General features: G+C 36.1%; 1 protein-coding gene across 21 annotated transcripts in view, besides 1 other annotated feature; it reads left to right on the plus strand.

Annotated features, from left to right (window-relative positions):
• The window catches only part of AKAP11 (A-kinase anchoring protein 11), a 51785-nt gene that overhangs the window by 20850 nt on the left and 4504 nt on the right, over positions 1-26431 (plus strand). For 6 of the 21 annotated variants that reach the window (XM_011534904.2, XM_011534906.3, XM_011534903.3 and 3 more), the window contains 9 exons: positions 59-175; positions 3369-3416; positions 4722-4856; positions 6207-6471; positions 7037-11537; positions 16128-16283; positions 20721-20804; positions 21568-21614; positions 25202-25362. In XM_011534904.2, the coding sequence (XP_011533206.1) occupies positions 59-175; positions 3369-3416; positions 4722-4856; positions 6207-6471; positions 7037-11537; positions 16128-16283; positions 20721-20804; positions 21568-21614; positions 25202-25362 (5514 nt within the window). The remainder of the gene's footprint in view (positions 1-58; positions 176-3368; positions 3417-4721; positions 4857-6206; positions 6472-7036; positions 11538-16127; positions 16284-20720; positions 20805-21567; positions 21615-25201; positions 25363-26431) is intronic. The other 15 variants (XM_047430073.1, XM_047430075.1, XM_047430072.1 and 12 more) reach the window with 5 other exon arrangements.
• Positions 6108-7307: an enhancer, noted in NCBI's record as "BRD4-independent group 4 enhancer chr13:42872570-42873769 (GRCh37/hg19 assembly coordinates)". NCBI's record gives its function as "activates an origin of replication core promoter dependent on BRD2, P300/CBP, MED14 and CDK7 cofactors, and independent of BRD4, by STARR-seq in HCT116 cells {active_cell/tissue: HCT116}" and the evidence as "EXISTENCE:reporter gene assay evidence [ECO:0000049][PMID:35650434]".

A 26431-nucleotide genomic window follows, 5' to 3' on the forward strand; every position in this document is an offset into this window, starting at 1 on the left:
TTACCCTTGTCTTAGAATTAAATAAATTTGAAATATCTTTGCTTTCTTTCCCCTGCAGAGCTTCAGTGAAGATGTGTTCCAGTCTGTAAAGTCTTTATTGCAGAGTCAGAAGGAACTATGCAGTGTAACAGCAGAGGACTGTTTACAGCAGGATGAGCATGCCAATTTAACTGAGGTTTAACATACTACTTTCTAAACCCTTTCCTAATAATGCACAGCATATTTTCATGCATCTTTGTAGGACTCTATGATCTATTTTTAAAATGCCTAAAATCTCTATTTGTTGTTACATGTATCAGAAGTACCTGTTTTGTGGGCGGGAGAGGGGAAAAAAAAGAAGTACCTGTTTTAAATACTGGCTAAAATAATTTTCTTAATTGACAATGAACTCAAACAAATGAGCACATTTATTTTATGCAGAGTACTAATTGGATATATAGCATTACATTAGATGATGCCTACTATATTCAGCAACTGATACTTTAATATGAATTTTTCTACTCTGAAACATAGAACAAATGCATGATTCTTATGTTGATTTTTTGGGTTATTTTCTTGACTGTTTAAATTCAGTGCTTTGATTAAAAATGAAAAAGTAGTGATAAATTTATCTTTGAAATTAAGATACTTACTCTATTACTTGAGGATAAGATAATATACCTTGCTCACCTATTTCTCTGCTACATCCAGTGTTTCAAATCTTTGTTTGAATTTATTATTATAAAAAGAGTAAGATCCTTTTCTATAATATATCCATACTTCATCATCACATTTGTTACCAAATACGAGATGTATTAGGTCGTTGCAGCTCACAACTGATGAATATTTGAAGTTAAAACATTTTATTTTGAAATAAGCGTTCTAATAAAATCGTGGTTATAGATAGATGCTCCTGGACTTATGATCGAGTTACATCCTGATAGATCCATTTTTCATCAAAAATATTCTAAGTTGAAAATGCATTTAAGACCTCATAAATCCATTGTAAAGTTAAAAAGTCAGAAGTCCAACCATCATAAGTTGGGGACTGTATGTATTCTCTTTCGGGTGGATGATTTTCTTAATATTCCTTGAGAAATTCTCTATTTGACGTCATTTCATAGGAAGATGAGCATATGTTTTAGGCCTGTAGTGTTCTGGTGCCTCATCCTCTTTTTGTGTCAGCTTAATTTCACTATTATTTTCTTTGCTAACCTTTTTCATTTTACTTTAGCAAAACCAAGCCACTCTTAATCTACTTGGTTGTTTCCAAATAAACAGTGGCAGAACATAACAGGCCTAATACATATGCTCATCTTCTATGAAATGATGTCCTGTGTCCTGTCCTCCAGTGGTTTTCCAGCTCGGATAGGTCGCAGTGCTTTTCCAAGCCCACATTCCTTGGTGAGGCCTTTCTTGACCAATGGGAAAGATAAAACTCCCCCGGCATCTTCAAAACCCTATGCCAGCTTATTTTCTCTCTTGTATTCAGTAAAGCAAACTTGAAGGAATAGATGGAATTTCTATTCCATTTTAGGGTGTGCAAATCTCTGAGTATCTTTTCAAATAAAGGAAGGAAATTAGTTATTTGCCTATCTGTTATTGAGTGCCTGTAATGTGCTAGGCACTTTCCTCTACATTATCCAGTTAACCTCAGAACTATGAGAGGGAAGTTGTATTGCCTTAAGTTTTACAGATAAGGAGACAGGCTCCTAGAGGTTAGCAATTCACCTAGATGCCTAGAAGTTAACTGTATGTAACACTTACATGAAGTAATAGCCATAATTAATCAGAATAAAGATCTCAGAGTAATATAAGATTCTGACTTGCTTCTGAATCATCAGAAATAGATCGAAAATATATTCAGTGTTGCTATATTCTGACTATACTATTGTCCCCACATTCTTGAGAATCGATTATTAATATTGCCGTCATTTAAGTATTGCATATTTTTTAGCCACAGTGGTTGCTTAGTGGACAGTTTACTACACTGTCTTCAAATGGAAAAAATGTCTTACTATGATGCCAAATACATAGAGAATATAAATGTAAAAAGTAACACTTTTTCAGGTTATAAAAGTAGTATATATATATTTTTTTCTTTTCTTTTTTTTTGAGACATAGTCTTGCCCTGCTGCCCAGGCTGGAGTGCAGTGGCGTGATTTCAGCTCATTGCAACCTCCACCTCCAGGGTTCAAGTGATTCTCCTGTCTCAGCCTCCCGAGTAGCTGGGACTATAGGCATGCACCACCATGCCTGGCTAATTTTTTGTATTTTTAGTAGAGACGAGGTTTCACCATGTTGGCCAGGCTGGTCTTGAACTGGCCTCAAGTGATCCATCCACCTCAGCCTCCCAAAGTGCTGGGATTACAGACATGAGCCACTGCACCTGGCCAGTATATATTCTTTGTAGAAAAATAAGAAATACTCAAAGTAGAACAAAGAAAATGACTATCATTGATCTTATGACTTAGGGAAAAAATGCAGAGGGGAAAAGAATGGGAAAAAAATAGCTCCATCATCCAGAGTTAATCACTGCTTATAGTTTGGTGTATTGCCTTCCAGTATTATTTTCCATGCATATGTTTTTAAAAATAAGGTTGAAATTGTATGCAGGCTGTAAATCATTTTTCTATGACTTGTCCTTTTTACTTAATAATGTGACAGTTCTTCATGCATTAGGTATTCTTTAGAAAGTCTGTTTATATAAAGTTCTGCAGAGTAATCTCTACATAAGGATATTGAAGGAAATAAATGGTGGTATCACAGAGTCAATGAAGAAGTAGCCTCAGGAGTCTACCCAGGGGGAAGGCCTCTCTGAGGAGGTGACACTTGCATCGAAACTTGAAGAATGAGAAGCCAGGCATGTAACCATCCAAGGAAGAGAGATCCAGATTGAGGGCGCAACTGTGAAGTCCTTAGGCAGGAATGTACAGGGCGTGTTCCAGACCCAGAAAGGGGGCTCGTGTGTAAGTGAAAATGGTAGAAGGATGAAAGCATTAGGTAACCTCACTTAGGATTTTGCCATGGGAAGCATGGAGGAGTTTGAATAGGGAGGTGGCATGGTAATAGGACCAGGTGGGAGAGGATTGTACTAGTGTAGGTGAGAAGGGTGGCTGGGGAATGGAGAGAAGTGGATATATTTGAAATATGTTTTGGGGTTAGAATTGATTGAACTTGCTAGTGAGGGAGAATGGATGAGGTTTAAGAACTGCGTTTTGGAGCCCAATCTTTGGTGAAAAATATTTTTGGGTCATCTTTGAAAAAAATCCTTTTCAAGCAGACAGCATTTTAATGCTTTGTCTGTTTTTTCCTGTTTGTCAGCTCTGTCACCAGCCTGAAAGATTTAAAAATTCAAATTAATGGAGGTTTATTTGTTCTTTACTCAGGTCACATTTCTGGGTTTTAATGAAGAGACAGATGCTGCTCATATACAGGTATGGTGAATTTTAGCATTTTTACTGAGTATTCTTGTCATGGAAATCAGCTTTAGGTTTGACCACAAAAGTCATTTATCTGAGAAGGTTGCAAACCGCAGACTGACTTTTTCTGCATTCTGTGTATAATACAGAATGTATGACTTGTTTGTTTATTTTGATGGCTTTAATAATTTTGACCTTAACAGTAAAAATTCTTATGTTTTTAGTTAAGATTGAGTTAAATTTAAAAGGTAAGATTTGTAAAAATTAACAATTAGCCAATGCAAAAATTTAGCCTGTTTGATTTAGGCAGTTATTGACAGAGGGACTGATGTTTGAGATTGGGATCAGCAAAGGAAAGCTTCACAGTTACATAAACAGTGGTTGAAGTTCCTGTACATATGATAGGCATACTTTTCTTTTTCCCTCGTGCTGCTTCTTAAAAATTTGTGATTCCTACATATTTCCTTTTGTGGCAGTAAAGTGTCTCCTCATAGAGGAGGAAATAACATTTTTAGGTCTTTCTGAATAATGCATATCAGGTGATTATGGGCAAAAACTGCTGTATATTTTGATTGTGGCCTTGCTTGAAGGAAATAATTTGGACAGAAGGAACAAGAGAGGATATATTCTTGAGAACATACATAGCTGGAAAGAGAAGTATTCCAAGATATTTCTTTAATGTTCTTCTTCTCCTTTAAGAGTTACTGATAAAACCATGTTTATAAAGGAAAGTACTCTACAAAGGGTCAAAGACTTTAATAATTCTTTAGCTGGGTAAAATATTTGTGTATAAAGGGCAAACAAGAAGAAGAAATAAAAGCGATTTTCTTTTCCTTTAATCTTCATTAAAATTATCAGTTAAAGTCTAATACAATACCTTGGAGAGGAAAGATAGAAAAACGGATTATATTGTACAGAGTTTTTAAAAAAAAGTTTTTAAGATGTACATTCTCTAGCAAAAAATTTTGTATGAAAAAAATTTCATAAAGTTAAGTTAAGACCTATATGTTGACATTGCTAAAAACTATTAAATGCTTAATTGTCATGGATGTGTTAGGTACCCTGTACAATTTTTTTATAGCTTGATATCAGTACATTTTAAAGGCTACGGGGATAGCCAGTATTTAATAATTTTAGTATATTTTATTTTTGAATTTTTGAAAAATTATCTGTGAATAATAAACTGTATATGTTAACTATTATGAACCAGGAAATTCACTAGCCAGTAGACCTTAAAATTTTTGGATAGGGTCCACATTATAGGAACCTTAACAAAAGTGTTACTCTACAGTGTTACTTATTGTTATTATTTTAAATCAGGATTTAGCTGCAGTTTCTTTGGAACTTCCAGATATTCTGAATTCACTCCACTTCTGCAGTCTAAATGAAAATGAAATTATTTGTATGAAGAATATAAATAAACCATTAGATATAAGCAGTGATCCTCTAAATCAGGTAACTTTTGTAGATAATTTCTAATGAGATTTTTAGGGCAAATTTTACTATATTTGATAAAGATGATTAAACTTTTAAATGCTTGGATGACATTTGTTTTTTTTAAATGGTATCTCAAGGAAATATGATTCATAAGAAATATAACTCATGAAGCATTGACATCCCTGAAGGATATAATAATTTTGGTCATATCTTATAAATTATATTTTTTAACTGTGAAGTTCCGTAGATGGTATGCAAGTACATGTTAATTTTTTCTGAAAATTTATTATTTCTGGATTTCTTGAACTACTTTTACCTTTGTATAAGCTACAGTGACTTTTCCCTATTATGGCCAATTTCAAATTTATATAAATGTTACGCTATATGTTTTAGAGAATGTACTTCAGTTCATTTTCTGGTTTAAAAAAATTCCATGTAAAGTGGACATCTGATGTGTTCTTTATAAATAAAAATGTTACCATTTCTTACAGGTGGTTAGTTTTATAATATTCAGCATTTAGTTCTTTACCAAGTATGATTTTGTTGATAATGCATCAGAGAAAATGCTTTGCATTCTAAGAGATAAGACATATACAATTGAACCAGAAAATTTAAAATTTGGATTATTTTAGTTTTAAAAAAACTGCTATGTTGTTCTTTATAAGGTCTGCCAATAAAACTAGAACTGCTTGCTTCATTTCCTTAATTATGTTCTTTATTCGTATTTGCTTTATTTGCTAGGATATAAGAGGTGATAAGCTATTATATTTGATTTCTAGTTTTTTGAATAAATAATTTCATCAGTATTTACTTGAAAAAAGTAGTATGAGGGGGAAAATCTGGTTACTTGTATTTTTAAAGCTATAAACATTGTAAGTTGTAATGCTAGGGAAATTTAAGTAAAAGGAGTAGACTTTTAACAATTGTGATAGGAAGGAAGATGGCATCATACTTGAAACTACGGGAAAATGGGATTAAAAATAAAAGAAAATAGAACTTGGTTGCTGCCCCCAAACAATTTATAATAGTTAGTGAGATAGGTGAATGATTAAGGAAAATCATAGGGCTGTACAGTAATACAGGAAAACATAATTGCTCAAAGGAATGGATAGTAAGTTTCATAACATTTCAGGAGACTGGGTAGAATTTGAATACCTGGATAAAAGAAGATGGGAGAAAAAAGGACTGGAAAGTGAAAAATGTAGAGAAAGAATTAAGAAGTAAACATTACAAAACCAAGGAGCTTTTCAGGATGCATGAATTTCTTGTTTGTTTTTTTCTCTGAGATTGTCTTATATCTAGGCTTTACTTCATGTTGTTTTGTATTTGAAATTAAAATTGTTTTTATTATCTTTTATCTTTCCCAAGAGTCATCCTTCTGGAATGCTTTGTGTCATGAGAGTGTCACCTACATCACCAAGACTTAGGATTGATTTTATCTTTAGTCTCCTAAGTAAATATGCTACTGGTATAAGGTACACCTTGGACACATTCTTGCATCAGAAGCACCAACTTGAGACCACTGATGAAGATGATGATGATACTAACCAGTCTGTGTCATCCATAGAGGATGACTTTGTCACTGCTTTTGAGCACTTAGAAGAGGAAGAGACTTCAAAGCCATACAATGATGGTTTGTTTTTCATTAGACTTTTTCCTAAAATAGGGAATTAAAATTTTTCAGTTTTGAAAATTTTAAGGCAGGCTTGTTCAGTTGAAATTTATGTTGAGATTTGATTCAATTTAAACCTTTTAACTTTTTTTCTGATTACCTAAGGAAATTCCTTATGATTTTTAAGTTCATTGTAATCTGGTTTTCAGTTTTGCTTATTTCAGGTTTTCATATTTAGTTGGTGCTGTTCACGCACTGGTTACATCATTAAGTGTCTGGAACATTCCTAGGTTCCAATTTTGGAAGAGTTAGCTGGCAGAGTCTCCACGGTAATTTTTCTAACATGCGTGACAGCATGCAAAACATCCCATAGACCAGGTATCCCTAGACATAGAGTAAACTGAAATTATTTTATAAACAGTATATTTACTTTCAAATGTTACTTGGGTGAATCTTTCTGTTAAACATAGTTTAGAAGATACACATAAATATTATATGTTTAAAGTCAGTTTATTCCATGGATTTAAGTTAATTTCCAAAAAGTTTTGTTCAAAAATAATTTCACCATTTCATTCTTTTCCTATAGGAATGAACATTACTGTGCTAAGGAGCCAGTGTGATGCTGCTTCCCAGACGGTTACTGGTCATCATTTAGAAACCCATGATTTAAAGATTCTCATTAGCTCTGGACAGCAGAAGTCATTGGCTAAACCCTCAACTTCCTCAGTGAATGTCCTGGGACATAAAGAACTACCTTCTGTGAAAACTTCAGTCACAACATCAATTTCAGAGCCTTGGACCCAAAGGAGTTTCTATAGGTCATCTAATGCTTCAGATAAAGATAGTGATTTACAGAAAACATTTTTTTCGTCTTCTCCTGCCTACTCATCTGAATCAGAATGTTCAAGTCCAAGTCCTGTTATTTTCTTGGATGAAGAGGGATATCAAAAAAGCTTAAAAGCAAAACTTGAGCTGCCTAAAATTCCTGTGATGAAAGATGATATAGAGGATTCAGACTCAGAAGTAAGTGAATTTTTTGATAGTTTTGATCAGTTTGATGAACTAGAACAAACTTTAGAGACTTGCCTGTTTAACAAAGATCCCGTCATAGGGAAGTCATCGCAGAGGAAAGGGCACAAACATGGAAAGTCATGTATGAATCCTCAAAAATTCAAGTTTGATCGTCCAGCTCTCCCAGCTAATGTTAGAAAGCCAACTCCTCGTAAACCAGAATCTCCATATGGTAACCTGTGTGATGCTCCGGATTCTCCTCGCCCAGTGAAGGCATCAAGGGAAGATAGTGGTTTATTTAGTCCTATTCGATCCTCTGCTTTTAGTCCTCTTGGAGGCTGTACTCCAGCTGAATGTTTTTGCCAAACAGATATTGGTGGAGATAGGATTCATGAAAATCATGATTCTGTTTATTACACCTATGAAGACTATGCAAAAAGCATTTCATGTGAAGTACTAGGCTCAGTTCTTCGTACCCACCATACTAATACCCTATCAAATATTAACAGTATTAAACATGGAGAAAATAAAACTGTAACTTTTAAGCATGGAAACCTTGATCAAAAAAATAAATCTAAAAATAAATCCTTAATGATTAAAGATAGCATTCAAAAATTTGCAGCAGATCTTGTGGAAAAAAGTTTTGGCAGTGCATTTAAAGACTTACAGAAAGGAGTCTCTTCATGTACCAATGCTTTGTACCACTTAGCCATCAAATTGACATCATCTGTTTTGCAGATGGCATTTGATGAGCTGAGAAGGCAGCGTGCATTTTCACTAAAAGAACGTGCCATTAGTGGCCTGGCTAACTTTTTGGTGAGTGAAGCTTTATCAAATGCCTTAAAAGATTTACAGTATGTAAAGAAGCAGATATTCACAAACACAGTTGCTAGGTTTGCTGCAGATCTTGCTGAAGAGCTTGTTTTTGAAGGCATCATGGAGGTGTGTCAGTTTTCATATCCTCAAACGCCTGCATCTCCACAGTGTGGGTCGTTTGACTTTGAAGACAAAGTAGTGAAGTTGTATGCAAAAGATTTGTCTGAATCTGTAATACAGGAAGCATTCATTGAGCTATCACAAGTTGATGTGACCTTTACAACAAAGGCAGCAGTTAGTGTCTCTACGGATAATATCAAGTATGTGAGTGCAGAAAGTGTAGTGCCATCGACACAGGCTGTCACGTTTTCCCCTTCTTTTCACAATCAAGCAATTATGGTGACAAAACCAGTGCAGGAATATAAAAAGGAATACACAGTGCAGCAGGCCTTGTTTTGTACTTCTGGAATTGTTACTTCTATACCGGTGCCCTTGGCAGGAAGTGCCCTTCTCCCATATCATATTTCATCTACTGCATGTCAGGCCAAGGCTCATCTGTCATCTGATGATAGTAATTCAAATGGTGATTCTGCCCAAGTGCATATTGCCACAAAAAACAGAGAAGAAAAAGCAGCTTGTCTCAGAAATATTTGTTTACCTTCAGAACACAATCCAGGTAATCAGAATGATTTTAAACCAACTAATGACGATATTGAAATGCAGAGTTCCTCAAAATTACCAAATGATCCTGCAATTATTAGCAACTTTTCTGCAGCAGTGGTGCATACGATAGTAAATGAAACTTTAGAGTCAATGACATCATTGGAAGTTACAAAAATGGTTGATGAACGTACAGATTATTTAACTAAATCTTTAAAGGAGAAAACCCCTCCATTTTCCCACTGTGATCAGGCAGTGCTGCAATGCAGTGAAGCTAGTAGCAATAAGGACATGTTTGCTGACCGGTTATCTAAATCTATTATTAAACATTCCATAGATAAGAGCAAATCAGTGATCCCAAATATAGATAAAAATGCAGTATACAAGGAAAGCTTGCCTGTTTCTGGAGAAGAATCACAGTTGACACCAGAAAAGTCTCCCAAATTTCCTGACTCTCAGAATCAGTTAACTCACTGCTCACTTTCAGCTGCAAAGGATTGTGTTCCAGAATGTAAAGTTTCTATGGTTCATGGATCCTCCCTAGAGACACTGCCATCTTGTCCAGCTGTGACAGGTCAGAAATCTGACTTGAAGGAATCTGCTAAGGATCAACCACTGAAAAAGCATAACTTGAATAGTACATCACTTGAGGCCTTGTCTTTTGGACAGGAAAACCCCTTTCCTCATTCACATACTTTCTCATCTACAGCACTTACCTGTGTAGATGGTTTGCATGTGGAAGATAAACAGAAAGTCAGAGACAGAAATGTAATACCTGATACTCCTCCATCAACTCCTCTAGTACCATCCCGGGCTAGTTCTGAATGGGATATCAAGAAGTTAACTAAAAAGCTCAAGGGAGAATTAGCCAAAGAGTTTGCACCTGCTACACCACCTTCTACTCCACACAACTCATCTGTTGGTAGTTTGTCTGAGAATGAACAAAATACTATAGAAAAAGAAGAGTTCATGTTGAAACTCATGCGATCTCTTTCTGAAGAAGTTGAGAGTAGTGAAAGTGGAGAGCTCCCAGAAGTGGATGTGAAGTCGGAGCACTCAGGGAAGAAGGTTCAGTTTGCAGAAGCATTAGCTACACACATCCTTTCTCTTGCAACTGAAATGGCAGCTTCCCATTTAGATAACAAAATAATTCAAGAACCCAAGGTTAAAAACCCTTGCTTAAATGTGCAAAGTCAAAGAAGTGTGTCGCCTACTTTTTTAAACCCCTCAGACGAAAATTTGAAAACATTATGCAATTTTGCGGGTGATCTGGCAGCAGAAGTCATTACAGAAGCTGAGAAAATAGCAAAAGTCCGAAATTGTATGCTTTTCAAGCAAAAGAAGAACAGTTGTTATGCTGATGGTGACGAAGATTATAAAGTAGAAGAGAAGTTGGATATAGAGGCTGTAGTGCACCCAAGAGAAGTGGATCCGTTTATTCTTTCATTACCACCAAGTTCTTGTATGTCAGGTCTGATGTATAAGTATCCCAGCTGTGAAAGTGTGACAGATGAATATGCAGGTCACCTTATTCAGATACTAAAACAGGAAGGTGGTAATAGTGAGTTGATAATGGATCAGTATGCCAATAGGCTTGCCTACCGATCTGTTAAATCAGGATTACAGGAAGCAGCTAAGACAACCAAAGTGCAGTGCAACTCAAGAATGTTCCCTGTGCCAAGTTCACAAGTGAAAACAAACAAGGAACTGTTAATGTTTTCAAACAAAGAGCACCACCAAGAAGCAGACAAAAAGAGACAAAGTAAAAGAAATGAAGGTTACTTTTGTAAAAATCAAACTTGTGAAAGGACCCTGGATCCATATAGAAATGAGGTCTCCCAACTGTATAGTTTTTCAACCTCTCTGGTTCACAGCATAACAAAAGATGCTAAGGAAGAGTTGACAGCCTCTCTAGTTGGCCTACCAAAATCCTTAACAGATTCTTGCTTGTTTGAAAAATCTGGATATGAAGAAGATAATGAGTGTCACGTTACACCAGAATTGCCTAAGTCTCTTCAGCCTTCCTCACAAAATCACAGGTTTTACCACAGCACTGGCAGTTTAAATGGATATGGTTGTGGAGACAATGTTGTTCAAGCTGTAGAACAGTATGCCAAAAAAGTAGTGGATGACACTCTAGAGCTAACTCTAGGATCTACAGTGTTCCGAGTGTCTGAGACCACAAAATCAGCAGACAGGGTCACTTATGCAGAAAAGTTGTCACCTCTTACAGGTCAAGCTTGCAGATACTGTGACCTTAAAGAACTCCACAATTGCACTGGAAATTCATCTCAGCACTTTTTCAGACAGGGTTCTCTCGCCAGTAGTAAGCCAGCTTCTAATCCAAAATTTAGCAGCCGCTATCAGAAATCTAGGATTTTTCATCTCAGTGTCCCTCAGATTCATGTTAATCTTGATAAGAAGGCAGTGCTTGCTGAGAAGATAGTTGCTGAAGCCATTGAAAAAGCTGAGCGAGAGCTGAGCAGTACCAGCCTGGCAGCCGACAGTGGGATCGGACAGGAGGGTGCCAGCTTTGCTGAAAGCCTTGCCACAGAAACCATGACAGCAGCTGTCACAAATGTTGGGCATGCTGTTAGCAGGTAAGTTTCACGTTTCTTTTGGTTGTTAATGATAAATTAAAAAGATAAATGTGATCCTATATGTCTTAGGTCCTGTTCATAAAGGAATGATTATTTTTAACCCTACATAAACAAAAGTTTTCCCTGTTGCATTTATGTATTGTTTCATATCCTACACATGACTTTAATATATTTTGGTCTCCTGATCCCTTTTGAGGGAAGGTGTTATCCATTTACAGAGCTGGAAAATGAGGGTTGGAGAAAATAATCACCTTATCCAAGTTCATAGAGCTATGAAATAGGTAAAGTTGAATTAAATAAATAGCTAGAGAATTTTATATAGTAGTCCCCCCTTATTCTCAATTTTGCTTTCCTCAATCTGAAAATGTTAAATGGAAAATTCCAGAAATAAGCGATTCGTAAGTTTTAAGTTGCATGTTCTGAGTAGCATGATGAAGTCTCACACCATCTCACTCAGGATGTGAATTACCCCTTTATCCAGTTTATCCATACTACATGTGCTGTTCACCTGTTAGTCACTTAGAAGGTATCTCAGTTATCAGGTCCACAAACCTGGTATGTACAGGGCTTGATGCTATCTGCAGTTTCAGACATCCACTGGGTGTCTTAGATCATATCCCCCATGGATAAGGGGGGACTATTCTATAGTAAATGTAGAATATTACTATATTAATTTACTATTCTGAGATTAAATTTTTGTACACCTTTCTTCATTCACAAGGGTAAGTTTTCTTATAAAGACCATGGTTAAACTACTCTGAAGAAGAAAGTGAAAATTCTTTACATACTTACACCATTTCTCTTGATTGGTTCACAATCTAAGAGGACAGTTCTTTCTGGTAGTCCTACAGTGTCCTGTTTTTCAGTAGCTATCTCTTGTGCTCAGTGATTCTTTTTTTTTTTTTGAGATGGAGTCTCGCACTGTTGCCCAGGCTGGAGTGCAGTGGCACAATCTCAGCTCACTGCAACCTTTGCCTCCCGGGTTCAAGCGATTCCTGTGCCTCAGCCTCCCTAGTAGCTGGGATTACAGGCACCCACCACCACGCCCAGCTAATTTTTGTATTTTTAGTAGAGACAGGGTTTCACCAAGTTGGCCAGGCTGGTCTTGAACTCCTGACCTTAGGTGATCTGCCCACCTCAGCTTCCCAAAGTGCTGGGATCACAGGCGTGAGCCACCGCAACCAGCCATGCTCAGTGATTCTTTAATAACAACTTAGTTACAGTTTTTCAGTTTAAACCTTCTTTGTCCCTGAGAAGATATCAGGACCAACTTGTGTTATTAGTTGATAGGATGATATTTGTAAGTCCTGCTTGAAAGAGAAAATGCTTTAAGTTGAGGTGGAATTTAATTGAGTCACATGATATTCCAGATTTTTGAGTAGCTTCTGTTAAAGCCATGACATGGTCTGCCTCTTTTCTTATCCATCTTAAAATAGGGAGATATAGCTTGGCCAGGATTCTTGAATCCAATTGCTCCATAGCGTCTACTTGAGATGAGAGATGATGTAGGTTTCTGGTGAACTAGGAGAGGTCTCTATTTGCCCTAATCAGGCAGCCTTCTTTCTCCTAGACCAGGGGTTGGCAAACTACAGTCTGTGGGCCAATGTGGCCTACTGGTTGTTTTTGTATGGACTGCAAGCTAAGAACAGATTTCATGTTTTTTTTTAATGGTTGAAAAAAATCAAATGATATTTTGTGATGTGGAAATTATATGAAATTCAAATTTCAGTATTTATAAATAAAGTTTTATTGGGACACCACCATGCTCATTCAATTACACATTTCTGTGGCTGCCTTTGTGCTATAATGGCAGAGTTGAGTAGTTGGGACAGAGGCTGTATGACCAGCAGTGCCTATGTACTTCCTGTTTGGCCTGTATTAGTTCATTTTCACACTGCTATAAAGATACCACCTGAGACTGAGTAATTTATAAACAAAGGAGGTTTAATTGACTCACAGTTCTGCATGGCTGGGAAAGCCTCAGGAGACTTACAGTCATGGCACAAGGCAAAGGGGAAGCAAGTGTTTTCTTCACAAGGCAGCAGGAGAGAGAGAGAAGGGGGAGCTGCCAGACACTTTTAAAACCATCAGCTCTCATGAGAACTCCCTCACTGTCATGAGAACAGCATGGAGGAAGCCGCCCTCATGATCCAATCACCTCCCACCAGGTCCCTCCCTGGGGGTTACAATTTGAGATGAGATTTGGGTAGGGACATAGAGCCAAACCATATCATGGCCTCTTACAGAAAACAATTGCGAACCTCTGTCCTAGATCCACATTTTCGTTTTCACTACATACCAGTTCCTAGTATGATAATAAACATAATAAATTGTTAATAAATATTCTCATGAATAGGTAATAAATTAGGCCTTTTTACAATTGAAATAATTTTCCTCATACAGGTTGCTTCAGGCTATTTTACTTTTTACTCCTCCTCAGTTCAGTCCTGTCTGCCCTACGGACCCATCCATCCCCCTTTCCTCCCACCCTCATGGGAAGAAAAGAGACTGTCCTCTAAAGTTTTTAAGACATCACTCTCAGGGGCTAGCAAATGCCTTTGTTATTGATTTTCTCAGTAATTTCCACTTTTCCTTCTTAGAGTTGGGTGAGTAGATAGCCCCTAAAGTTCTTCCTGTAAGCCAGTGCTGTCCAATTTCAGCTTTTTATTAAGGCTGGAGTAATTATTTTCCTGCTTCTCTTCTTAATAATTGTGCTAGGGTTCTGTAAATACTGACTAAGGAAAGCTGACTCTAGTGTGTAGAGTTTACGTTTAACATTTTTTATTTCTAAAGTTAAATTTGTCTTTCAAACTTGAAAGGAGATTCATTCAGATGGATTATTCTTTAAGGTATTATTTCACCTGATGTCCCTTTTTGTTTGATTCATGAACATGACCATAAATATTTCACAAACTGTAATGAACAGAGAGGTGGCATGTGAATGCAATTGGGAAATTATGTGATAGTACATTTTTATTCATTTTTGTTTGTTGTTGTTTGTTTGTAGAGATGAGATCTCACTATGTTGCTCAGGCTGATCTTGAATTCCTGAGCTCAAGCAATCCTCCTGCCCTAGCCTCCCAAAGTGCTGAGATTGCAAGCATGAGCCACCGTGCCTGGCTGATAGTGCATTTTTAGCCAACAAAACGATTATATTCTAAGCTATCATTCCGAGCCAAAATAACCTCACAGTCATTATAAACTCTTCTCTGGACCTCATCCTTTGGGTCATTTCAGCCAAAAACCATGAGAATGTGGCACATATTAGGAAAAGTATTCAAAAAAACAAAGTAGTAATCTATCAATGGTTCAGAACTATAATGTGCCTATGCTTGGAATGCTCAGTATCATTCTGTATCTTACAAAATTAGAATAGCTGAAAAAATGGGGGGCAATTCAGGGGCTATTCTCAGGATAGCACTAGGGATACGGAAGTAAGTAAAACAGGCAAAAATCTGCATTCTCTTGGAGCTTATGTTATAGTGGAATAAGACAATAGGTAAGTAAAATATATAGTATGTCACATAGTGATAAGTGCTTTGGGGGAAAAATAAAGCAAGGTAGGGAGTTAGGGAGTTAGAGAGTGCTGGTGGTGACAGTGGCGGTGGCCATTAGGGCTGGTTTACAGTTTTGGATAGGTAGCAGGGGAAACAATACTGGCAAAGTGATACTTGAGCCAAAAACCAAAAGTGAAATGAGAATAAGTCATGTGGGAGTCACCGAGAACAGATTTCCAGGCCTAGGGGTGGGACTGTGCATGTTTGGGAAACAACAGAGAGGCTTGTATTGCTGAAGTGGGAGGAGTGGGCCAGGGAGAACATAGGAGGAGTGGGCCAGGGAGAACAGTAGGAGTTCAGATGGATGTTATAAGAGGGGACAGGCAGTATGTTTTAAGGATTTGGGCTCTTCGGCTTGGTGGGAAGCCATTGGAAGGTTTTGATCCGAAGACTGACATTTTTTCTTTTTATGGAAACATCACTTTGAACTACTTTGTTGAACATAAAATGTAGTGGGACAATTAAAATAGTTGAGCAGTGAATGGACTTTCTTGTGATGATGGAATAAAAGTATAAATGCCTCTTATTGAGAAAAATGAAAGGGGTTATGATCTATGTTCAAAATCTTGAAGAGATTTGGTTAGTTTGAATACAGGCTTGGTTGACAATACTAGAATTTCTTGAACGACTTTTTTGTTCTTAAAGCCAGAAAGAGACTCCTTTAACATAAATAAAAGTACTGTTTTACAAAGCAGATGATAACTTAGGAACTTGTACTGCCCCATGGTATCTCAGTTGAAAAATGAACTGCTTTAAGTAGAATTTAGAGAAATAATGCCCTAGGGATAGATCCATTGTAGATTAACAAAGTAAGTTATGGCTGTTGGTGGGTACCTCAGTTAACTTTGAAATTAATACGCTATCCTACAGTCTGTTTGTTGGCAGACTCAAATAAAGGATTACATGAGCCACTGGTCTGATTCCGAATACCATTTCTTGTTTTTATCATCTTTGTCATCAAATTGATAGTCTTGTAAGTTCAGAATCTGGGATGCTTTCAATTTGATTTTTTTTCTTTTTTTCTTCTTTTTAGTTCAAAAGAAATAGAAGACTTTCAGTCAACCGAGTCTGTCAGTAGCCAGCAGATGAACCTCAGTATTGGTGATGACAGCACTGGTAGCTGGTCCAATTTAAGTTTTGAAGATGAACACCAAGATGAAAGCAGCAGTTTTCATCATCTAAGTGAAAGGTAACTACACTTTTGCATATAATTGTGTAGTTTAGGTCCTCAGATCTTAGAAGTGAGCTATAAATTTACATTATTATTTAAAAATTCTAAATTTGAAAATATGCTATTACTTTCAAAATGTATTTTATTATTCACAATGTATTTCTAATTGTTTTTAACACTTATTTAATACAGTAAGTAGCCCAGCTAATTTTATTGGGGTGTGCCAATAGTTGATTTGAAAAATATTGCATACATTTAATTTTATGCCTTTTAAGCTTCTCCCAAACTTTTTATGAACTTCTGAGGAAAAATTTTTTTTTTCACTTTAAAAAGGGTACTTTTTTTTCTTTAAAGAACAAGAAAAAGGACAGGTATCTGTAAAAGGCATCAAAGTAGCCCTGTACTTTTCCTGACATTAGTTAAAATAGTATCTTTTTGGTGGGGCGAGGGTCCCTGCTTGTCCTGCTGTTAGGAACAAAATGACCTGGAAGACTTATGCTTGAATGATTGAAAATACGTAAGTCAAAGCCATTATAAAAATGTGATTTTGTATAGCACAAGGCACTTACCTCATATATAACTTTTCTTAGTTAACTTTGTTCATAACAGTGGTGTTTGAAATATTTTATTAATTATGAGACAGTTGTTTCTTATAGTCTTAACCTCTACCTAAAGGCATTTCTGACTAACCTATAAAATTCTATAAACTCTTTATCCACATTAAGTGATAACTGGAAATAATAGATACCATTTGTAGCAGAGTCTTGAGGGAGGAAAGGGTTCTTAGCATATTGCTGGTTTCAGGCATGTGTGGAAAGGACCTGTGGACCATCAGTTGAACTTAGCCCCTGGAAATGGCAAACTAGGTGTGGGAGGGAAGGCAACTCTTGGAAAAGGGAATGAGGTAGCATAAGGAAAGGAAATGGCTTTTCACCTGATAGAACACTTCATCTCGAAGAGTTTTGTTCGATGCTTGGATTAACCTGGAAATATTAATATTTTTGTAAAGTATATTTTGTCATAGTTTATTATGGTGCTATATAAACCACCAATATTTCTTAAAATCTAGGTCCAAAAAGACAGTGTTTAAAACTGGTAGAAGCAAGTGGGGGCAATGTCACAAATCATGATTTGGCCCTTTTCTATAACTTTATCTAGAAAAGGATACTAACATTTAGTTTCTTCTCTCATTTTGAGAAACACAGGCTTCTATGATTTCAGTGGGGTTGACAGTGTTGCCTAGGAAATCCTGGCGTTAAAATGGGAGATTGAGGTGTGGGTAGAGGCTTTAAGCATTAAGAGGACTTGTAGTCAGTTGAACAACTCTGTGCTGAATATTATCTAATTTGATGAGAAAAAGGAGTCGTCTTACCGGTTTCTGTCCTTGGTTCTGTCCTCCTTAGCATTATTTATTAATGATGTGGAATACTCATTTGTGGATGATTCAACACAGGCTGAAAAAAGAATCTCATTAACAGAACAAAGGTTAAAAAGACCAAATCAAGCTGAGGTTAAAATAATTATGTTTAACATGGATAAATGCATTTAGGCTCAGAAAATTAATGATTAATATTTGAACTTAAGTGGGGAGCAAACCTGGCTTGATGGCATTTTGTCAGAAAAAGACCTGTGTTTCCATTGACCAAAGTTGTAATGTGACTTAATGTAATGCTGCGTGGCATTAAGGTTCTGGCACAGAGAAAAAGCGGGGCTCATCCAGGATTGGTGGTGTGCTCGTTGCATATACAGTGTCCAGGGTCTCACCTCCAGAGATGAAGATTTATGAAGTCAGTGAAGGGTCCTGAGAATCTGCATGCTTGATAAGCATCACAGATGATTTCAGTGCAGGTGATTCAGAGACCTCACTTGAAAATATATTGATTTACAAGATATGTTGCATCTGTTGATGACAATTGATATCTATACTGTTCTTTTCTGCTACAGAGATCAAGGTAGGAGATAAAGACTTCGGCGATTTGGGCTGGGCGCGGTGATTCACGCCTGTAATCCCAGAACTCTGGGAAGCCAATGGGGGTGGGGGTGGATCACTTGAGGTCAGGAGTTCAAGACCAGCCTGGGCAACATGGTGAAACCCCGTCTCTACCAAAAATACAAAAATTAGCCAGGCGTGGTGGCAGGCACCTGTAATCCCAGCTACTTGGGAGGCTAAGGCAGGAGAATTGCTTGAACCTGGGAGGCAGAGATTGCAGTGAGCTGAGATTGTGCCACTGTACTCCATCCTGGGCGACAGAGACAGACTCCGTCAAAAAAAAAAAAAAAAGACTGTGACAATTTGAAAACACCTTGCCAGTTTCATTATAAGCAGGAAGTTCAGTGGAGGGCAACAACTAAAAAACACACTAATTTCAGATTTTCAAAAGTGTTTAGGAGGATTATATAATTATTTGATCAGAAAAGAACTGGTCTCTGTCTGTGACTGTCTTAAATATTTAGGTAGTTTGTTATTCTCTTAGGAATTATGAATTAGATTAGGTTAAGGGATGGGGCCAGATTTGCAGAATGTTTCAGATAATTTTTATAAGATGTATCACAATCAAGACCAGTCTTGATATGGCTAAAAGCTGCAATAAAGCATTGCAGTACTGGACCACTGTAGTACTTATACCACTGGTTGGAGTACTCCTGTGCTAGACATAGGAAATATGAAAAGACATAAAAGAAAGTGATGGAAGCAGGGTAGTGTTTCAAGAGTGAAGTAGGAAAACTCTTAAGTGAAGAAATTAAGTTTTTTAAATGTTGGGTTAATACAGGGTGATCATACTTCCCACTTAGGATAGTTTGGCTTATTTCTGCTGTTCTGTTGTAATTATTAACGGTGAGGTCTTTAAAAAAGTGTCCTGGTTAGATGAAAAATGTATACAGTCACCTAGTTAGAAGTGGCATTTTATGAAGAATGACTTCAAATACCCATTTGGAGGCACAAAGAGGGAGGGGTGATAAGGTTAGAGGGAATTTGAATTTTTAGTCTTTACTTCGTTTAGCTGTTTTTTTTTAATGTTTATGTAATAGGTAGGTGATGGATTTTATTAAGTGGAAGAATCTGTGTGATGGGTAGAAAAATTTTATATTTTTTTGTTATAATCATTCTATTAATAGAAGTAAATAGAGTGTTTGAGATGATTAATTTTCTTTTTCTCCTTTGCTCACAGCTGTCTGTCCATTCTTTGTTTGTATATTTTCTTATTTTTAGTTTATCTGACAATGAACTACATGGGTTTTAACAGTTTTATAATAGAGCTATATTTGTTTGAACATATGTTAAAAAGACCCTGCTCAGTTTTAACTTTTACTCTCTAATACATCATGATTTGTGACAGTTTGATCATGTTAGAGTGAATATAACTATGCAAATTATTTGAGATTGCTTGGAAGTTTTTTAGAACTTGAAGTAATCACCTTTTTTTGTTAACCATACCAACATTTACTGATGTACATAAAATGATTTTATGTTTACTTTTTTAGAACCAAAATTTTGGTTTGTATAAATATTACTTTTTATAATTGCCTAGCATAATATTGGGAAAAATCGCTGCTTATCACTGCAAACTAATGTGCTTACTAATGTTTAATAATTAGAAATGATTAGAATTTTTAAATTGCATGCTGAGGGTTTTAATCTGAAAATTTGAATTTAATTTTATTTCTGAACATGGTTGCTTTTTTTAAAAATTGCTTTGCTGCAGTTTTAGAAAGTAGTTGCTTTCTTCTTCAGTTGATTAGGTAGTGTAAGACATTATCTGTATGTGGCATTTGTGACTGGCCAACTAGACAAGTGTAATGCTTGATTAAGCCTTGGCTATTCTAGCTGTATTCTGAAGAAAATGTTTGTTATTTGCCATCTACTGAATTATACATAATATATGAAATGAAGATAATTGACATAATAGTATTTTAAAATCTGAGAACATGTTTTGCCCAAATAGTTAGAAAAGGTCTGTTTGGGACTATGTCTTTATAGAGTCTTCCATCCCATCTCCCCCCAACATCCCCTCACCCATACCTGTCACTGTTTTGCACTATCTAAAGACCTGAGAGAATGTTAACCTGTTTTTTTTAACTTTATCCAAATAGAAAGGTATTGGCATTTCACAAATTATAGTTCAAGATTGGTCCTAAGACATTAATTTTCCTGTGAAACTTATTACTTCATGCATTCATTTGCTGTCCTAAAAGTCATTCTGTTAATCTGTAAAATATAAGTTTAGATAATTTTCATGATCTGTTGAGAAGAAAGAAAAAACTCCCGAATCTCTGAACTTGTCAGGCACCTTTTAGCATAGGAGTGATGGTCAATCTCCTCTCTGGATGTTCCCCTTCACTGTGGCAGCTTCAGAACATCTGCAGTTATCAAGGACAGAAGCTGTTCCGAGGAAACAAAGGTCTTTTCTACTATTCATTTTCTAGTTCAGCTCTGTTCTTTTCTTCCTCTGGCAGTAATGGTAACAGCAGTAGCTGGAGCAGTCTTGGTTTAGAAGGAGATTTGTATGAGGACAATTTATCCTTTCCAACATCAGACAGGTTGGTCCAGTCTAGAAACTTAAAAACTGATGAGTCTGTCACCACTAATGCATGATGTCATATTCTTCAAAGAATGTGGGTTACAGTGCCAGTATGTATCAACCTGCTTTTCTCCTATATTTTGACATGATTCTGCTTGATGAATTCACATCTAATGAAAAACTTCAACTGTGCTAAGATATGACTGACATCTAATTGCAAAATGTGTCACTGTTATGCATGTGTTGCTCTGCTTGCTATTTTTCATTCTACCAATTATTTCATTCAAAAGAGCTTGCTTCCTACAGGATTTCTGTTGGGTTTTTTTGTTATGTTTTATTTTTGTGTGTGATTTTATTTTATATATAAGAAAAGTATAGGTAAAAAGTGTTTTTACTGTATTAAAAATATATATAAATTGCATCAGCTAAACCATTAACAAATATTCCTGGCATTTTGTAATATTCAAATGCTACATTAAATTAGTAGACTATTTCAACTTTAAATGATTTTAAATTGAATATTATGAAATTACATGGCACTATGTATCATGGTAAGGTAGGATTTCTTGGTTTTGATAACTTTAGGGATCATTTGCAATTCAGATTTTAACATGAAATGATGTGAGAAGCAAAGCTTCCTTTTTTAATTGTCATTTCTCCCCTTTCTAAATGTCATATGTCATATTGTAACATTCATTCATTACCACATTTTTAAGAATTTGTTTTGATACCATTATTAATTAAATTTTTTTTGTAACTGCTTCTGCTATTTTATTCATAAGTGATGGACCAGATGATAAAGATGAAGAGCATGAGGACGAAGTAGAAGGTAATTTGATTTGTTTTTCAAAGTGTTGGCATGTGTTTTGTATAAGGTTTCCTAGAAGAGTCTTTATGCATTTTCATCAGATAGGCTCTAGGTTATCAGTGTAAAACATTATAAATCAGGGTATTCTTGAACTAATTTTGTTTGTCCACTTTTAGATCCTTTGTTGAGTAGTTTTATTTGATTGCTACACTAATGAAATTGTCATTGGTATAAAGAAATACTGGGCAGGCACGGTGGCTTACGCCTATAATCCCAGCATTTTGGGTGGCTGAGGTGGGTGGATCGCATGAGGCCAGGAATTTGAGACCAGCCTGGCCAACATGGTGAAACCCCATCTCTACTGAAAATGCAAAAATTAGCTGGGCGTGGTGGCGGGCACCTGTAATCCCAGCTATTTGAGAGGCTGAGGCGCAGGATTCACTTGAACCTGGGAGGCAGAGGTTGCAGTGAGCCGAGATCATGCCACTGCACTCCAGCCTGGGTAACAGAGCCAGAGACTCTGACTTAAAAAAAAAAAAAAAAAAAAAAAAGGAATACTTTATGAGAATTATTTGACTATTTGAGAGAGATTAATTACAGTCTCTCTACATAATTATTTTCAAAATACAAAAGCTAAAATTCTTACTCATGTTATAAGATAATTTATTATAACTATGGCATATTATTTTCATAATATTTTCCTTCCAAACTGGTAACTTGTAGAACCAGGGTTTCATGTCAAACTTACGTGAGTCAGTAAGTAATATTTTTACTTACCTTGTTTTCTAAAAGATATTTCTAAATTAATTATTCTTCCCTCCCCCAGTTCCAGTGCTTCACTCACGCATACACATATTTGAAGAAAATACTCAGATCCTTCCTTAATGAACATAGTTCCAAGTATGTCAATACTAGATATCACTGGCCACAGAGTTTTGGACCATAGTTTGTAATCCTTAATTCATGTTAGAGTATCTGAGTTTATTCATCTGAGTGAATTTAGAAACTTTACTTTGAAGCTGAGTTTTCATTATATTCAGGCGGTTGTTGAATTTTTTTCTGAAAGTCTAATTTTTTTCTTAATTTTGAAAATACCAATAATGTCTTCTATAAAGTGCACTTATAAAAGTATTTGTACTCTTTGAGATATTTGTTTTTGAACTAGTGATGTTTTAAAAATTGCTTCTCTAGAAGCAGGCAAACAGAAAATAGCTAAAAAGAATTTCTCGAAATTTACTTTATGACACCTGAATTTTCAGTTAGTTTAACACCTTGTTTAGGGAAGTCACATCCCAGTTTTTAAGCTGTAATCTTCAGACTTAAGATTATTATTTTTTAGTTTTAATGCCTCTGTAAGTAGACATTCTTTATATAAGGCTTCTAGAAGTCAGTTTTTCTCATCAGATATAAAGTCGAGATGGGGCAATATTTTTAGTGTTATTGATATTTGATATTGATATTCCCCACTGCAATATTTGTTTCATTCTTGTTCACTAAAAAAGTGTTGACTTTGTTTATAAAAGTTATGCCTTTTCTCAAGTAACATCTGTGAACAGTTATTCTAAAGGCTATACATCGTATAAATGCATGTGGTTACGTATTCTCTAATGAACTAGCGATTGTTTAACTAGCTTTACTGAGGAATGATTAAGAAAAAAGAAGATACAAGTTAATGTAAATATGAAATTTATCTTGAAAAAGATTACTTTTGGCACTAACCAGGCTGTTAAGGATTTCTTTTGTAGTTGGTAGAAATCAGGAGATTAATTATATGTTGATATGTCATTACTGAGTTTTTGAGATTATAGGTATTTCTCATTATATAGAAAGTTACAGCCAGCTTTAAATTTGTTAGAGATTGGTAAATTAGGAGCTAGATTGGTCTGGATTTATAGAAAGATTCAAAATTATGGAAATCCCAAGGCAACAAACTTATTTTTTTAAAAAAATAATTTTGTAGTTGCAGGATGTCAGTCCCTCCCCTTTTCACTAATGGTTAGAGACTTCTCTAAAGAGAGAGCCGTTTGGAGGTTCTTGTAGGCCAGGCAACCAGGAGTCCTGAACTGAGAAAACACCAGCAGTGCAAAGAAGCAGTGGGATGATTAGCTTCTAGCCCCCTGAACTCCTCAGGATTGCAGAAAGGCCCAGAGACCATGCCTTGTACCATGGTATGCCAAACCTATTTTTGATTGAGAGTGTTGGAGAGAGGGGAGGGAAGAGACAATACATTTATTTTTAGAGAGTAATGTGGACCAAATCTTTTTAATTAAAAATTAGGGACCAACACAACTCCTAAAAATAATTAATAGTGGTCTAGAATGGCCTGCAAGCTGTAGCAGAGAATCAGAGACATCTGTCAACAACCTTCCATTACTGGTACATGTTGGCATGATGTCTGCCAGCATGCCCTGGTGCTCACCTCTTGTGGTGTGTGTTAAGGGGTGGAGGGGTCCTGGTCTCAGCACTCCTTATTGCTCAGGTATCATTAAGCAGCAGGAATGTTAAACGCATGATATTGGCCCATAAGTCATTATTTCTGTCAACAGAGATGGATCCCTCTTTGTGATGAAAACATAATTATCATAAAAAAAGAAAATAAATTTGAGATAATCTTGAGACTAGAAGTATACCAGAAAATTCCCTGATCTGGCTTTTGGGTGTAAGTGGTTGCATATGGCATTTCCCCCCACTTTTGTCTGAAGAATGAGAGATTAAGAGCATGGAGCCAGACTGCCTGTGTAAATGTCCTGGCTCAGCCACTTCCCCACTGGAAGACTCTGGGGCTCTCTTTGCCTCAGATCTCTCACCTGTAGAATGGAGACAATAATAGTTTCTACCTCATAGAGTGGTTGTGAGGATTAAAGGAGTTTGTACATATAAAGAGCTTAGAACAATACTTAGGATGGAATATGTGCTGCACAGATGTTGCTGCTCTTCTTTATTTGAGATTTCTGTTTTTTTGTGGGGTTTTGTTTGTTTTTTGGGACAAAGTCTTGCTCTGTTGCCCAGGCTGGGTGGTGCAATCTCGGATCACTGCAACCTCTGCCTCCTGGGTTCCAGCGATTCTTGTGCCACAGCCTCCTGAGTAGCTGGGACTACAGGCATGTGCCACCACGCCTGGCCGGATTTTGTATTTTTAATAGCGCTGGGGTTTCACCATGTTGGGCAGGCTGGTCTCGAACTCTTGGCCTCAAGCGATCTGCCCACGTCGGCCTCCCAGAGTGCTGGGATTACAGGCCTGAGCCACCATGCCCAGCCTCATTTTTATTTTTATTGTAATGATAGCTTTATAGTTTTATTTTCTCTCTAACCCACTGGTCATAATTTATATCAAATTATGGCATTTATAGAACTTGAATTCAGTATGTTAAAATGATGTTTTATATTTTTGCAATCAATAAATGATCAAAGTTATTCCTTTGTTTTACATTATTTTGCCCTTTAGAAGTTTTAGTTGAGGTTATGGTGTGGTTAGAAAAAGATGGATATTTTTTTCACCATTCATTAGAATCCTAAGAACCAGAAAATATTTGTATCTACTTGACAACCAGAGTATTGAGAGTTAAATTGATGAGTTTTACTTTATATTGTTTACATTTAAATATTAGGTTTGGGGCAAGATGGAAAGACACTGCTAATTACGAATATTGACATGGAGCCATGCACGGTAGACCCCCAGCTAAGGATTATTCTTCAGTGGCTCATTGCCTCTGAGGCTGAAGTTGCAGAACTTTATTTTCATGACTCTGCAAATAAGGAGTTTATGCTAGTAAGTACCTACCTTACAGAGTGTGAGGATACATTTAACAGTATATGATGTTCTTGTCATGTGATTGGTCTAACAAGATGCCTGGTGATGGTTAAATTCTTAGGCTGTAGTGTCCAACAGTTTGGGTTCAGACATCAGCTCTGCCACTTTCTAGCAGTATAACCAGAGGCAGGTTCACCAGTCTGTCTCATTGCCCCTAACTGCACTATGCAAATGAATATAGAATCTACCTTACAGGGGTTTATGAGGATTAAATATAATGTTAAAAAAAATGCTTGGTCTAATGCCTGGCATAACACTAAGCTCTCAAAGGTAGATGCTATTAATAAGCATTGTGTGTGTTCCTATGAAAAAATTGAATTATTCTCTGTATTTAATTGATTTGTAATTGTACCTAATGATTAATATATCTGTTTCTCTGATAATCCAGTTTCATTTGTATGAGCAGCTGTCATAATTAAAAGCCGATAAAAGTTTAAACAAGATGCTTACTATGTGCCAAGTACCTTATTAGTCAAGATTTTCAGTTTACAGTCTTAAGGTTTTTGTTCCATAATTTTCTTTATCAGAACTTTCCTTTTGGGGTGGTAGAAATATTCGAATTGTGGTGTTGGTTGCATTCAACTTGGAGAACATACTAAAAACCATTGACTAGGACACTTTGGGTGAATTGTATGTTATGTGAGTTTTATCTCAATAAAGCTGTTTTTAAAAAGGTTAAGCATATATATGTTACACAAAATTAAAGTAGTTTTTCAGAATTTAACTTACAGATCTTTCAAAACTTAAGAGCTTTTACAGAACTTAGTAGAAAAAGAAATGAACAAAAGCATGTCGTGAGTGGTGACAACAGGATTTATTTAAACCTGTATTTATTTATTTATTTATTTGTTGTTTTGTTGTTGAAACATTAACATTCTTTAACTTAGAAAGCCATGTTTCCATTGAGGCTAGAGTGTGTATTCCAGAAAAATGCCACACTATATGTTGTGGAAGGAAAATCCACATCCTTTTATTGAGTTTGACGTTGTCTTTATTATTTTATGTCCTAATTGAGGGTGTGGCAGTT

Source organism: Homo sapiens, chromosome 13 (assembly GCF_000001405.40).
Source record: "Homo sapiens chromosome 13, GRCh38.p14 Primary Assembly".
Taxonomy (NCBI): domain Eukaryota; kingdom Metazoa; phylum Chordata; class Mammalia; order Primates; family Hominidae; genus Homo; species Homo sapiens.